This window comes from Homo sapiens, chromosome 2 (assembly GCF_000001405.40).
Source record: "Homo sapiens chromosome 2, GRCh38.p14 Primary Assembly".
Lineage (NCBI taxonomy): Eukaryota > Metazoa > Chordata > Mammalia > Primates > Hominidae > Homo > Homo sapiens.
In genome coordinates this window covers 10611188-10626393 of record NC_000002.12, presented here as the reverse complement: position 1 = coordinate 10626393, position 15206 = coordinate 10611188, and the positions used below count along the sequence as shown (strand labels likewise).

At 40.4% G+C, this 15206-nt stretch overlaps 1 protein-coding gene across 12 annotated transcripts in view; it reads left to right on the top strand.

Annotated features, from left to right (window-relative positions):
• NOL10 (nucleolar protein 10) overlaps positions 1 to 15206 on the top strand; it is a 119222-nt gene that overhangs the window by 63582 nt on the left and 40434 nt on the right. For 2 of the 12 annotated variants that reach the window (XR_007082293.1, XR_001738958.2), the window contains 2 exons: positions 4244 to 4378; positions 5235 to 6045. The exons of 8 other annotated variants lie outside the window; for them this stretch is intronic. Coding sequence is in view for 1 of the 4 variants with exons in the window: in XM_011510400.3 (XP_011508702.1) it covers positions 5235 to 5285 (51 nt within the window). In the remaining 3 variants the exon portion in view is untranslated. Of the gene's footprint in view, positions 1 to 4243; positions 4379 to 5234; positions 6046 to 15206 lie in introns of those variants that run through there. 2 more of the 12 variants (XR_007082254.1, XM_011510400.3) reach the window with 2 other exon arrangements.

Sequence of the window (15206 nt, the reverse complement as noted above, 5' to 3'; positions counted from 1 at the left end):
TGTTCTCAAATCCCAACGTAAGTTTCTCTTCTGATGCCCACTTAGGATGTAAGCTCCACAAGGCGGGAACTTTGTATGTTGTGCTTTTTGCTGTGTCCTTGGTTCTTAGAACAGTGTCTTATACTTCATAGGCTTTCATTGACTCCATGCATGCTGGTTTAAAGTAATGAATATTGACCCTTTTAAAATTTGTTTTATTTATTATTATTTTTTGAGACAGGGTCTCACTCTGTCTCCCAGGCTGGAGTGCAGTGGTGTGATCATGGCTCACTGCAGCCTCCAAACTCCTGGGCTCAAGTAATCCTCCTACCTCAGCCCCATGCAGCTGGGACTACAGGCACATACCACCATGCCTGGCTAATTAAAAAAAAATTTTTTTTTTCATAGAGACAGGGTTTCACTCTGTTGCCCAGGCTGATCTTGAACTCCTGAGCTAAAGGGATCCTCCCATCTTGGCCTCCCAGAGTACTGTGATCATAGGCATGAGCCACCACACCTGACCTGACACATTTTTTTAATGTATTATGAAAAAAATGTATTTTGTCTCTCATTGGTTAGAGGAGAAAAAATTTCAAATAGACATAAAAGTAGAGAGAAATGTAACAAACCCGTCTTCTACCCATCCTTTTGCTCCCATGTCATCAGCTTTTCCCCCAGGCTTTTTTTTTGTGGGGGTGGGGTGGAGGTAAAGTTGGCTTATACTGTATTACTAGCACCGTAAATTGCTCTAGAAAGTAGTTATTACAGATTGTTAAATGGGAACGAATATTAGATCTTGACATGGGCACAAATCCTCATTTGGATTATATGTTTACCTTCTTGAGGAACAGAACATTATTCTTGGTTGGAAAACAAGTAATATGTAAATGATAGTAGTGGGACATTGAAAGAAAGGTTAGATCTGCCTGTCCATGTTTCTTGCATGTCTGTACATGGTTATGTCATTCACTCATTCAGTGGTCTTTATTTTTTAGAGCAGTTTTTGGCTCACGGCAAAATTGAGTGGAAAGTACAGAGTTCTTATGTCCCTCCCCCACACGCTCCCTCACCATCAGCACTTTACAACAGAGTGGTCCATTTGCTGCAGCCAGTGAACAGACATTGACACATCACCACCTGAAGTTCATAGTTTACATTAGAGTCCACTCTTGGTGGTGTACATTCTGTGGGTTTTGACAAATGTATAATGACATGTATACACGGTCATAATATCACATAGAATAGTCTCCCTACCCTAAAAGTCCTCTGTTCCACCTGTTCATCCCTTCCTCCACCCCACAAACCCCGAGCAATCACTGGTATTTTTACTGTCTCTAGTTTTGCTTTTTTCCAAAATGTCATATAGCTGAAATCATACAGTATGTAGGCTTTTCAGATTGGCTTCTTTCACTTAATCCTATGCTTTTGAGATTCCTCCATGTCTGTTTGTGGCATGATAGCTCATTTTCCTTTATCGCTGAATAACATTCTCTTGTCTGGATGTACTGCAGCTTGTCTGTCCATTCACCTATTGAAAGGCCTCTTGGTTGTTTCCAGTTTTGGCAGTTAGGAATAAAGCCGCTCTAAACATTCTCGTGTAGGTTCTTATGTGCACATAAGTTTTCACCTTGTTTGTATAAATGTCAAGGAACCCAATTGCTATGTCATATGGTCACAATACGTTTAGTTTTGAGAAATTGCCAGATGGTCCTCCATAGTGCCCATACCTTTTTGTATTTCTTTTTTTTTTTAAATTCATAATCAGTGTTTTTATTATTTTCGATGATGGCTCATTTCTAAGTTAAGTGATGTATACTGTCTACATTTCCCATCTATAAGCTTTTGTTTTTCCTGGACTTTTGTTACCTAATTTTGATTTGCTTAGGTTATTATTTTTTTTAATCTATGGCATGTCTTCCTATCGCTGTGTACAATGGCTTTCAGTAGAACTTTTTACATCTTCAAACTCATCAGATAACTGTGTTTTAATATCTTTTTCTGAGGACATTCCTCCCAAATCCCTCTGTTCTGCTCCACTTGGGGCTGATAGGTCCTTTTCTGTTTTGAGACAGGGTCTCACTCTGTTGCCCAGGCTTCAGTGTAGTGGCACGACGAAAACCAGAGACCTTTGTTCACTTGTTTATCTGCTGACCTTCCCTCCACTATTGTCCTGTGACCCTGCCAAATCCCCTTCTGCAAGAAACACCCAAGAATGATCAATTAAAAAAAAAAAAAAGAAAAGAAAAATCTACTTCTGGAGAAAGAAATTACCTTCCCATCTCTTTTGTCAGGAAACTCTTGGATGATATACTGACCAAAACAGGGAATAACCTAACAGAGAGGAAGACAGGGATTTTAGGAAACCAGAGATCACACAGGAAGGAGGTAAAGGGAAATCCCAGGATGATGGCAAAGGGAAGTCCCCAAACAACAGCTGTGCAACAAGAATAAAGACCTTTTTGTATTTCTGACATCAGTGAATGAGAGTTCCTGTTGCTCCACATGCTCGTCAGCATTTGGTGTTGTCAATGTTTTTGCGTTTTAGCCATTCTAATCGATTTATAGCGTATAGTATCTTATTGTTGTTTTAATTTGCAAATATCATTTATTTATGTTGGTCAGTCATGAAAATGACACACCATGATTTTTGTCTTTTTGGGCTTAACTAGATAGTTGTGTTAATTAGTTGTTAGTTTTGAGTATTTGGGGGGCTGGGTCATTTATTATACAAACATTTGTTACACAAACACTTAGTGAGCATCTTTCCTGTGCCAGGACCAAGGGTGGGATATCAAAAACTGCACTAGGATATCAAAGGTGTTTGAAGAGATGGGCCTTGCTGCCTAGGAGCTGATAGTCTAGTAAAGGAACAGATAGTACAGGTGATAAGGAACTTTGGTATACAGGATCTTACAAGAGGTAAGAAAGTCACTTTCCCATAAGTAATGTTTCATTCAAATTTCGAAGGACGTTCAGGAATTAGGCAGTGATGGTGGATAGAAGGGTGGCAGAATCAGGGAGATCATCCTGTACAGAGGGAGCTGAAGTAAGACCCACGAGCCCCGGTCCGTTCAGTCTGTTTGGGAAGAGCTTGGGTTTTTCAGCGGCTCTTAAGGAATGGGAGATACTGATACTTCTCCGGTAAGACTGGAGAAGTATCAGGACTTAAAGCCAAACCTTTTGTACCATGTTAAAATTTTACTTTTGCTTTAACTAGAGTGGCATGCCTTTGAAGGGTTTTATTCAAGGGACTGAAATCAGATAGGTGTGTTAGATTATTCTGCCTGTTTAATGGGGGTTGTCTTTGGAAGCCAGGGATAGGACACACTGTAATTGATTAGAAAAAATAATGAGGGCCCCATTTAAGGCAGTAGGCATGGTGAGGGAAGAGTTGGGTGTGAGAGACAGTAAGGAGTGTGCTCATAGAGTGCGGTGATTCGTGGGGGAGTGATGGATGATGGGGAGAGAGGGGAACTGAATGAGCAGTGGTACCATTCACAGAGGTAAGGTGGAATAGATACTAAATTCAGTTTTGGCCATCTTGAATTGTCTTAATTCTGACTCTTCATATATATGAGTTAAACTGCTTCCTGGGAGGGAGTTTTGAGCTTTTGTTTTTCTGGTTCATCTCCATGGAAAAGGTCAAAGGTTATGAGTTAGGTTCTTGAATTTTCTGGAGAAAAAAAAATCATCTTTATTATCTACACTTTGAATATCTGTTCTCAGCCAGCAGCACTAGTACTGACTTGAGTGCTCACTAATAGCCTCAATGTTGAATTAGGGGCTGGGTCTCCGCTCCTTTACAGAGTACTTGAAATAATTGAGGTTTCAGTTTGATAGTGTAAGGGACTTGTTCACCACTTGGTATCTGCATCTGTGCCTGTATTCTTTTGGGGGTGTTTATTTTTTCTTCTCTCTTTTTTTTTGAAAAACGCTCTAACTAAAAAAAAAAATTTAACCTTGTAACAATACATAACCAAGAAGATAAAAGTCCTTCATTACCATTATTAACAAGTTACTAACAAGTTGGTGCACATGCTGTGCAGTCAAGTCACGTATGACACACACAGCGTGGCATGGGGCTTGAGCAGAATCAGGGTCTCCTTATACTATTCTCAAAGGTTTTTTTGATCACAATATCATTTTGGTCAGCACGTAAATCAAGCTCTCTTTTTAATAGTTGCATAGTGTTTTGTTGTGTAGATATATCATACTTTATTTACATAGTTTCCTGTGTTAACTGTTTACCATCTACATTTTCCAGTTCTCTAAACCAGTGCTGTCCAGTTCTCTAAACCAAAGTCTGCCACCAGCGTTTCTGTGATGACGGACACGTTCTATATCTGCTGTGTCCTGTGTGGTAGCCATTAGTCACATGTAGCTGTTGAGCACTTGAAATGTGAGTACTGCATCTAAGGGACTGAATTTTTAATTTCATTTAATTAATTTTAACTTAAATCGCCACAGGTGGCTTAGTGGCTGCCTTATTGGGCAGCATAGCTCTAAACTATTCCAGAGTCAAGTGAGATCATTAGGCTACTTCCTTAGACCACATGCTTTGGTCTTCATCAATTATAGTTTAATGATTTTCTTTGATGTTGAACTTCTGTAAGCCTCTCAAAGAAATATATTTTGTTGCCAGACTCCTTTAAAGGTCTATATTTTGCTGCTTGAGTTTTGTTCCAACAGAGAATTTCTTCTTCCAGATCTATCAGTGTACTTCCCTCTAGCAAGTAAAGGGTATCTGTCGACCTTACTGTGCATCTCCTTTTGTCTTGGTTGCCTAGAAGCCCAAAGTTAATTTTTATTTTTATTATTTTTGAGACAGGGTCTTATTCTGTTGCCCAGGCTGGAGTGCAGTGTCCTGATCACAGCTCACTGCAGCCTTGAATTCCGGGGTTCAAGTGATTCCCCAACCTCAGTCTCCCAAGTACCCAGGACTACAGGAATGTGCCACCACACCCAGATAATTTTCGTATGTTTTATAGAGATGGAGTCTCACCATGTTGTCCAGGCTGGTCTTGAATTCCTGGGCTCAAACGATACTCCTGCTTTGCCATCCCAAAGTGCTGGGATTACAGGCCTGAGCCACCACATCCCAAAGTTAAATTTTTGATTGAATTATAGCAGTTGGTTTTTTTTGCCTCTCACCACCACCCCTATCAAACTTCATCACTTTCTTTTCCTTATGAGTTTAAAGATTTCGTTATGTGTATGGTTTTTTTTAAATAAAGCTCTTCATATTCTTTTTGCAGGTGCTTAGATTTTACATGAAGTCTTTTGGATCTATCCTAAAACTTCACTAAAAAATGATTAGCAGCGGCCAGGCACAGTGACGCACGCCTGTAATCCCAGCACTTTGGGAGGCCGAGGCAGGTGGATCTTTTGAGCTCAGGAGTTCGAGACCAGCCTGGCCAACATGGCAAAACCGTCTCTATTAAAATACAGAAAATTCGCCTGGCATTATTGTGCATACCTTTGGTCCCAGCTACTCAGGAGGCTGAGGCAGGAGCATCGCTTGAGCCCAGGAGGTGGAAGTGGCAGTGAAGTGAGATCATGCCACTGCACTCCGGCCTGGGTAATAGAGCAAAACTCTATCTCAAAAACAACAACAACAACAAAAATCAACAGTATATACACACTGCTTCCCTCCCACAGTCATGCACACCCACATATACATCTTAGTGAGATTCTAAATATTATCACATGTTTGTGGGAATCCTGTTTATTACCTCAGAGGAAACTATGCATACTTAAGACTCTACTTAAGTACTGTTGTGGTTGACCACATTTTATTCCACTGAGTTCAGATTGAGTTCCTTTATGTCCTTTGCTGTGTCAGTATCATGCTTTCTTTCCTTCAGCTTTATTTGGGGGAACATATGGGAAATCTTATTTTGTATGAATTTAAAATACGTTCTTCAGGATTTCCTAGTTCCGTGCATGACCGCCTCCCCAAGATAATCGGTAACTGCTAAATGGTGTTAATATATTTTTTCACCTTCCTAGAATAGCACTGTTAAGGTATAGAACCTTGAATAAAAGTGTACATATAATTTTTTTAAAGTTTTGCTCTTCCTTTTTTTCTGCCGAGTTTCCCCCCCTGGGTATTTTTACATATATCGGTACCCTTAGTTTTTACATAGATTTCAAAATTAAGAATTAGAAAGCAATAAGAATATGCAGAAAAGTTATTAATAAACACTTTTGCCTGCAAGGAAGTCGAGTAGAACCAGGAAACTACTGATGTGCTAAGGATAACACACCAAACCATCTGTGTTACTAACTCTTGGCAGGAATAAAATGACAAAACAAGATCTTGGGAGATGCTCATTACCAGGTGCATGATCAAAAAGATAAATACATTCTCATGTAAAAAAATTGGCGTAGTGCCTTTAGCATCCTTGGGGCATGTGTGCGTGTGCATGTGGGCAAGTTTAGCATTTGGTGTAGTTAGGAAATTGGGAGAGGAAAAGGGTAGAAGTAGAGGACTTTAACATTGCTTAGAGTCATTGTTATTGCAAAGTCTGGAAGTGAACTCTAGGAAACTGCACTGGAATTCAAGTGTAATATGATGATAAACATCAAATGACTGTTTGTAGCCGAGGTGCAAGGCCAGGCTCTTCAGGAAAGAATGAATAGGAGACCTTAAAATAAACATCTGTTTTTTTATTCAGCTAACAGTGGACTTTGAAGAAGATTGGGGCCATGTTCAGATTTTCTTTTTCTTCCTTGAGAATTGAAGAAAAATGTCAGCTGAGGATTTTTTTATGCTATTTAACATGTCATTTGTAGTGTTTCATGAAAAGCAGACAGATATGTAAAGCTTTTTATTCCACTTCAAATTAGAATAATAAGTTAGATCCAGTTTTGAATTTAAAAGAGAACTTTAACAGATATGTTTTATGAGTGAGTTTCATGATTTTGAATAAAATTTTCACACACTTAAACTACAGTGGTTTGGCCAGGTACGGTGGCCACAACTGTACTCCCATTGCTTTGGTAGGCCAAGGTGGGAGGATCATTTGAGCCCAGGAGTTCAAGACCAGCCTGGGCAACATAGTGAGACCCCGTCTCTACAAAATAAAATAAATTAAAAAATAAATTAGCTAGGCATGGGTACATGTCTGTAGTCCCAGCTACTCAGGAGGCTGAGGCAGGAGGATAGCTTAAGCCCGTGATCAAGGCTGCAGTGAGCTATGATCATGCCACTGTACTCCAGCCTGGGTGACAGAACAAGACTCTGTCTCATAAATACATAAATACATACATACCTACATACATACTACAGTGGTTCATTTGAAAGTAATTCTGTATGTCCTGTTCCTAAATGTTTTAGGAATATCTGGTTTTCACCAAGCTTGCATGTTCTGAATCCTGCTTAAGTTCAAAGTTTATAAACCTCCGTTAGGTACGTGAATTTAGTTTTCAGCAAATTATTCCTTTGGTTTCCCAGAAGCTTCCTTCACATTCCAGCTCCTCAAGTAAATGTTAAAAGTTTAACAAGGAAAAGGAGTGAATTGATTTTGTATATATTTTTGTTTGGTGAAATAGCAGAGTGTAGGCATAGTCTTTTCAGATAAGTTTGCTAAAAAGTAGTTTCCTGTCACCTCCCTTTGAAAAGAACTGAGGTGTGCCCCATCCTCAAACCTACCATCTTTCCAATTTATTTGTTTATTGGGGTAGTAGGTGGGAATAAATGTTTCTTAGATTTTTCTGGCCTCCCTTCCTAAGCCAGGGTAGCTCCTGGCAAATAGTCCCCAGACAAACCTTAACTGGGCCGCCTTCCTGGAACCTCATTTTATACCCAAAATACAAAAAAATAAAAATACAAAAATAGGAAAACACATGAAGATAAAGTGCTGCAAACACACGACTTTGCAAATATTAATCATACAGAGCCAATCGCTTATGGTATAGAAATAGTCTGAAGTATTCTTTTGGCACAGCATTGCCTGTGTGATTCTCGCCAGAAAGGTTTAACTGGATCTGATTATGAGCAGTGATCAGCAGAGGACTGTGGGGAACCCCTGCAAATCAGGGCTCTTTCTAAGAGCTCTGGCCTGAGCCTTGAGCAGATGTCCACATCCTGAAAGTCAGTGAAGGTGGGGGCTCCTACATTAAAGGAAACTAAGGAGACATAATAACCTCCTTAATTCATTTTTTTTTAAAAAAACAGCTTTTTAAAGACATAATACACATACCATGAAGTTTATCCTTTTAAAGTGTATAGTCCTAAGCCAGGCTCTGTGGTACCCACCCATAATCCCAGCTATTCGGGAGGCTGAGGTGAGAGGATCGCTTGAGCCCAGGAGTTTGTGACCAGCCTGGGTAACATAGTGAGACCCCATCTCAAATAAAAAAGAAAAAAAAAAAAAAACATGAAGTGTACAGTCCAGAGTTGTGCAGTGGTTGCCACTAATTCCATGACGTTGTGTCACACTAACCAGAAACCCCATGCCAGTTTTTCTTCCTTCTCCTCCCTCTCCCAGCCCCTGCAACCACTCACCTACTTTCTGTCTATGCATTTGCCTTTTCTGGACATTCGTGTACAGTACGTGGTCTGTTTTTTCTTCAGCATGTTTCCCGGCCCGTCCATGTTGTACCATGTCTCAGTACTTTATTCCTTTTGATTGCTGAGTGACATTCCATTGTGTGGATATTATCACATTTGTTCACCCATTCATCAGTGGATGAATGTCATTATCCAGTTTTTACTAAGTCCAGTGTTTGGACTTAGTGAAGTAGCTAGTCTCTTAAAGATGAGTTCTCTGGCAACTTTCCCCCTCCCTTCATATGGACCCTGCTTTTCTTGTTTCTTTGTGTGTCCTGTAATTTTTTTGTTGGAAGCTGGATGCTTTAAGTAACATAATTTAGGAATTATGGAACTCAGTCCCTCCCCCAGGTCCCCAGGGTTTGTGGTTGTTTGTTTAGTGACTGTCCTGGACTAATTCTATAAAATCTGATTTCTTTCTAACGTGTGACCACTGAAGTCTCTGCTCGTTGCCGAACTGTCAGCTAATGAATAAACAGAGATTTCCTTCAATGCCCGGAACCAGTCAGTCGCCCAGCCTCTGCCAGAGTGATCCTCATGAATGCCCCTGCTCACCATTGCTCTCTCTATTCAAGCCACACTGGGCTGGTCTTTTTACTGATCCACAAACATGCCAAGCAATTCCAACCTCTAGGCCTTTGTAGTTGTCAGGTAGTCTTGAGGGTCACTCCCTCCTGCCCCTTGGGTCCCTGTCCATCATCTCCCCTTCCCCTCTATTCTTCATTGCCTTCTCTCCTTCAGTTTCCACAGCACCAGTCTCTGTCTGTCATACTCTCCACTGCCTCTCCCTTGTTTGTAGTTTCCCCTTTCTGGAAGGTAAGCTCCTTGAGGGTGGGGATTGTTCTGTGTTTTGTCACTGAGTATCTAGAGAGAAGGGAAAGTGCCTGCCTCTTTGTTGAATAAGTGAATGGGGAGGTAACTCTTTGTTGAATAAGTGAATGGGGAGGTAACTCTTTGTTGAATAAGTGAATGGGGAGGGAGCTTAGGCAACCTGTTCTTATTTAAGAATGAGGGCCAGACGTGGTGTCTCACTCCTGTAATCCCAGCACTTTGGGAGGCCGAGGCCAGTGGATCACTATAGCTCAGGAGTTCAAGACCAGCCTGGGCAACATGGCGAAACTACATCTCTACAAAAGATACAAAAATTAGCTGGGCATGGTGGCACACACCTGTAGTCCCAGCTACTTGAAGGGCTGAGGTGGGAGGATTGCTTGAACCTGGGAGGTTGAGGTGGCGGTGAGCTGAGATCGCACCACTGCACTCTAGTCTGGGTGATAAAGTGAGACCCTGTTTCAAAAAAACAAAAAAAAATGAAGAATGAGGTGCTAAAATGCCAACTGGGGCCAGACACGGTGGCTCATGCCTGTACTCCCAGCACTTTGGGAGGCCAAGGCGGGCGGATCACCTGAGGCCAGGAATTTGAGAATAGCCTGGCCAACATGGTGAAACCCCGTCTCTACTAAAAATACAAAAATTAGCCAGGCGTAGTGGCACACGCCTGTAATCCCAGCTACTTGGCAGGCTGAGGCACAAGAATCCAGGAGGCAGAGGTTGCAGTGAGCCGAGATCGCACCACTGCACTCCAACCTGGGTGACAGAGCAAGACTCTGCCTCAAAAAAAAAAAAAAAAAAAAAAAAAAAAATGCAGGGTGGTGTTGTCCACTGGTAGTTTTCATGTGGACCCTTCAGCTAATGACTCTACCCAGATATCAATATCTTAAAGTCTGTCTTCTGGGACCTTTCATTTACTCCAGAGAAGAATCCCCCAGTTTTGTTCTGAGGTGTTAGGGGTTTGGGCTGGTAGAGTGGACGCACAGCAGCATAGGCTTGACTTTGGCATTCCAGGGGCTGGGAAAAGGAGGCGAGGGTCCCACAGTTTGATGTCTAGACTGCCATTAATTGTCCTGACTTTAGCCCCACAGCTCAAGTCACCTGTGCCTGGTGGCATACTCCCCACCCACCCCGCACATAGGGCAGCTTTGGTTCCCCTCCTCCAGAGAATTATCTTCTGGTCTCTTTAGGCATGGTGGGGATTTGGGTGTTCATCAGCTCCATTGTTCCCCCTTTATTCGGGCCTGTGCCTCATCCTGTCGTCCCCCATGCTTAGAGCCTTGAAGTTCTTGTCCCAAGGATTCTGAGAGAGGAATCTTTTCTCTTTGCTGTTCACCTCTGTAAGCTCTCATGTTTACCCGGTTAAGTTTCTTAAATTACTGCATCTTCTTCTTCAGTTCTTTTTGTCCTTAAAGGTTAATACCTTTTAAAAGTTATTTACTGTCATTTTAAAAAGGCTTGACAGCGATGGGGGTACCACTATTAACCAAAAGCTCTCTGTGTTTCTTAACATCAGTTTTAATTTGGTGTTTAAATGTTTGCTTGGGGCGTCCTGTCTCTGCTAGCCCTTGACTGAAGGCACTCTGTCATGTGTATCTCTACTCATAGTGTCACAAAAATTGACTATTGCTTGATGGGCTATTAGTGAGATAGTGGCTTAAGGAATCTTAACAATTTTTTTTTAACTTGGCCTTATTTTTCTTGTTATTTCATTTCAGTCCCTAAATTATCTTTTCAAATATTAAGTCATGGCAGGTAATAGTTTTTCTTTTTTAAAAATAAATCTTTTAAAATGTTGAAATTAAATTGCTTCTTTGCTAATCTGATTTTTAAGAACAAAACACTACAAGTAGAGTACATTTAAATGACTCATAATTACTCACACAAATGCATGTAAACTTGGATATGCAATTAGGCAGCTCATTATGCTGCAAATGCAATTACATGCTTAAGGTCATGGCCACTCCCTCTGGCTCACCCAGTGTTCTCTTGGGTTTATGATCATTTATTAAGCCTCAGCTGTCAGAATTTGAAAATACATGCTGCTGCTCCTAGTGAGGCCTTTCCAACAATAATGGAAGAAAAGCTGGAAAAGAAAATTTTCTTTTGAGTTTATATGCAGAGTTGGTTTTCTTAATTGGCAAAATCCCATTTTCCCACAGGAGATGCAGGCTAGGTAATTAGAAAAATTATCATTAATCATAATAGTGGTCAGTGATATTTATAGTATATCTATATTTAGTATATATTTACCATATGTAGCTATGTATAGTGTGTATATACATTATAGTACAACTCCATCATCTCTTATCTGCAATTCTGAAATTTAAAAAGCCTTGAAAGTTTGTTTATAACCCTGTGGTAAACCCTGACTGGACCTGATTTATTAGGACTTCAACCTATGTGAAATAATGAATTTCTTTGTAGGTCTGTGTTTATCCCAAATCACTGGTATGAATTTGTGTAGGTTTTGCTGCAGAGATGTTAATATGATTTGATCATGGGCTACTGACCCAGACCTTACTGAAGTTTTTTTGTTATATACAGCATACATACTGTATTACTTTTTTAAAATGCAAAAAGTTATTTGTTTCAAACTCTGGTTCCAGTTGTTTCTGTTAAAGAACCAGGGCCTCACTGCAGTGAGCTATGGTCATACCACTGCACTCCAGCCTGGGCAACAGCAAGATCCTGTTTCCCAAAAAGAATCATGGCCTCACAGTAAGGGTAACAGATTTCTGGTTAGACCTGGATTTAAATTCTAATAGCGGGCTGGGCACTCTGGCTCATGTCTATAATCCCAGCACTTTAGGAGGCCGAGGTGAGCGGATCACCCGAGGTCAGGAGTTCAATACCAGCCTGGCCAACGTGGTGAAACACTGTCTCTACTAAAAATACAAAAATTAGCTGGGTGTGGTAGTGCATGCCTGTAGTCCCAGCTACTAGGGAGTCTGAGGCAGGAGAATCACTTGAACCCGGGAGGCGGAGGTTGCAGTGAGCTGAGATCGTGGCACTGCACTTCAGCCTGGGTGACAGAGTGAGACTCCTTCTAAAAAAAAAAAAAATTCTAATGGGGGATAAAAACCCTCTACCTCTTAGAGTGTGGGTTGCTAGTGCTATTATTATTTTTATTGTTGTTATTGTTTTTATTATTGTTCCAGTTCCAGAACTGATATTTATATCTATTTTTAGAGTGTCCTGAAAACAGTTCTATAATAAAATAACTAGATACTTGATATGGTTGTTAGGTGGTAAAAAAAACTTTTATATTCAAACTCCCTGTTGCTGTTAGTAAATGTAGTTCTTACCTGTTTGATTTAATAGTGTCATTATAACATAAAAGTTTAAATTCAATTTCTAGGATTGTAATAGTATAAGATCACTGAAAGGTAAAAATGACAATTCTTTTAACTAAACATCTTCTGTGTAATCAGTGAAATATATTAATTTTATGTAGCACTACATTCTTACTATTTAGTGTGGCAGTTAAGCTTTCCTGGTTATGAAACCATAGCCTCTCAGTTGTTCAGGGCCTTGCTCAAGTGCCCCTTGCAAAGCTATCTTGATCGGCCTCAGCAGATAAAGGGCTTCCTAGAACCTTTTAAAAATTTCTGTTTTGGCACTAATCCCATTGTATTGTACTTGATTGTTTTCCACTTACTTATGTTTGACTTTAGCACTTAACTTTTACCAAATGCTCAGTTAACTTTTTGAATGAATGAATGAAGTTGAAGAAATTAAGAATAATTTAGTCCTTCCACATAAGTATTGCTGTATTTGAAACAACTCTGTTCCTTTTGGGTTTCATTCTACTATTTTTATAGGGTATACTGTACTTGGAACATAATAAATATGGAATTTAATAAATATGTGATGAATAAAAATTGAATTAAAATCTATTTCATTACATTTCATGGTTTCAGTTTTATTCCTGAAATTAAAATAATTTACTTAGGTCCTTTTTCCATGTGATTCTTTTTCTTTCTCTTCTTGTCTTCTCTGGTCTTCTTTCTCTCTTTTTTTTTTTTAACAGGGTCTTATTCTGTTGCCCAGGCTGGAATGCAGTGGCGTGATCATGGCTCAGGTGATCCTCCCATCTCAGCCTCAGGAATAGCTGGGACCACAGGCACATGCCACCATACCTGGTTAATTTTTTAATATTTTTAAAAAATATATAAAAAATGTGTAGAGACAAGGCCTCACTACATTGCCCAGGCTTGTAAAAGAATATTTCTAGGCTGGGCGCTCTTGAAATTCCAGCACTTTGGGAGGCCAAGATGGGCAGATCACCTGAGGTCAGGAGTTCAAGACCAGCCTGGCCAACATGGTGAAACCCCGTCTCTACTAAAAATACAAAAATTTAGCTGGTTGTGGTGGTGAGTGCCTGTAATCCCAGCTACTCAGGAGGCTGAGGTATGAGAATCGCTTGAACCTGGGAGGCAGAGGTTGCAGTGAGCCTAAATCACGCCACTGTACTCCAGCCTGGGATACGGATGGAGACTGTGTCTCAAAGAAAAAAAATAATATTTCTAAAAAAAGATAATTTCAAATTTAATGGCTGTTCTATGTTATCAATTATTTTCTTATTTGTTCCATTAATAGTACGTTAGATAATGAAAGGCTTTGTCATACTCAGTAGCATTATAAATAAGCAGAAAAAAATGATGGCATTTGTATTGGTTTAGTAGACTTTGGTTCTTTGTCTATAATATTAATAGTACTTTGTTGTTGTTTTAATCACCCTTGATCTGTTAAAACCATTTATCTGGTAATCTTCAATCTTTTTTTCTGTCTCAGCACAGCTTTGGGATGTAGCACAGTGATTTTTCTAAAGTAGAGTGAGGGAAGGAGTATCTTCTTTCAGCTCCCTAAGAGTATTTATTTTATTTTTATTTTTATTGTTCTTAGAGACAGGGTCTCACTCTGTTGCCCAGGCTGGAGGGCAGTGGCACCATCATAGCTCACTGCAGCCTCCAAATCCTGGGCTTAAGGGATCCTCCTATCTCACCCTCCTGGGATAATATTTGGGACTACAGGTACATGCCATCATGCCCAGCTAATTTTAACAGTCTGTTTTTGTTTTTGTTTTTGTTTTGTTTTGTTTTTTTAAGCAGGGAAGCAGGGTCTAATTCTGTCACCCAGGCTGGAGTACAGTGACACAGTCTTGGCTCACTGCAACCTCCACCTCCCGGGTTCAAGCGATTCTCATGCCTCAGCCTCCTGAGTAGCTGGGATACAGGCATGCGCCACCACGCCTGGCTAATTTTTGTATTTATAGTAGAGATGGGGTTCCACTGTGTTGGCCAGGCTGGTCTCGAACTCCTGACCTCAGGCGATCCGCCCACCTCAGCCTCCCAAAGTGCTGGGATTACAGGTGTGAGCCACTGTGCCTGGCCAACAATATGTATTTTTGTAGAGACAGGATCTCACTGTGTTGCCCAGGCTACCTTGAACTCCTGGGCTCAGGAAGTCCTCTTGCCTTGGCCTTCCAAAGTGCTGAGATTAGGCGTGAGCCATTGCACCTGGCCCCTAAGATTTTTAGTGTTCACCCTTTTTCCTCCCCACTTGTAGTGCTTTACAGGAATACATGATAATTTTGAGTTTTATAATTAACATCTTAAAGACAAATTGTAATCATAGAAGCAGTGATCATCTTGGGCACATGGCATGTATTTTCATGTCCTTTAAAATTGGTTCTTCCGCTCAAGTAGATTGGCACAAGCAGATACTTTGCTGCATTTGAGTTGTGGCCTTCTTGTAGCATGTTGGTACATAAAGATTCATATTTTATAGAATCAAGTATTTCCATTTAGATTGGTTGATATGATTATCATTAAAGTTG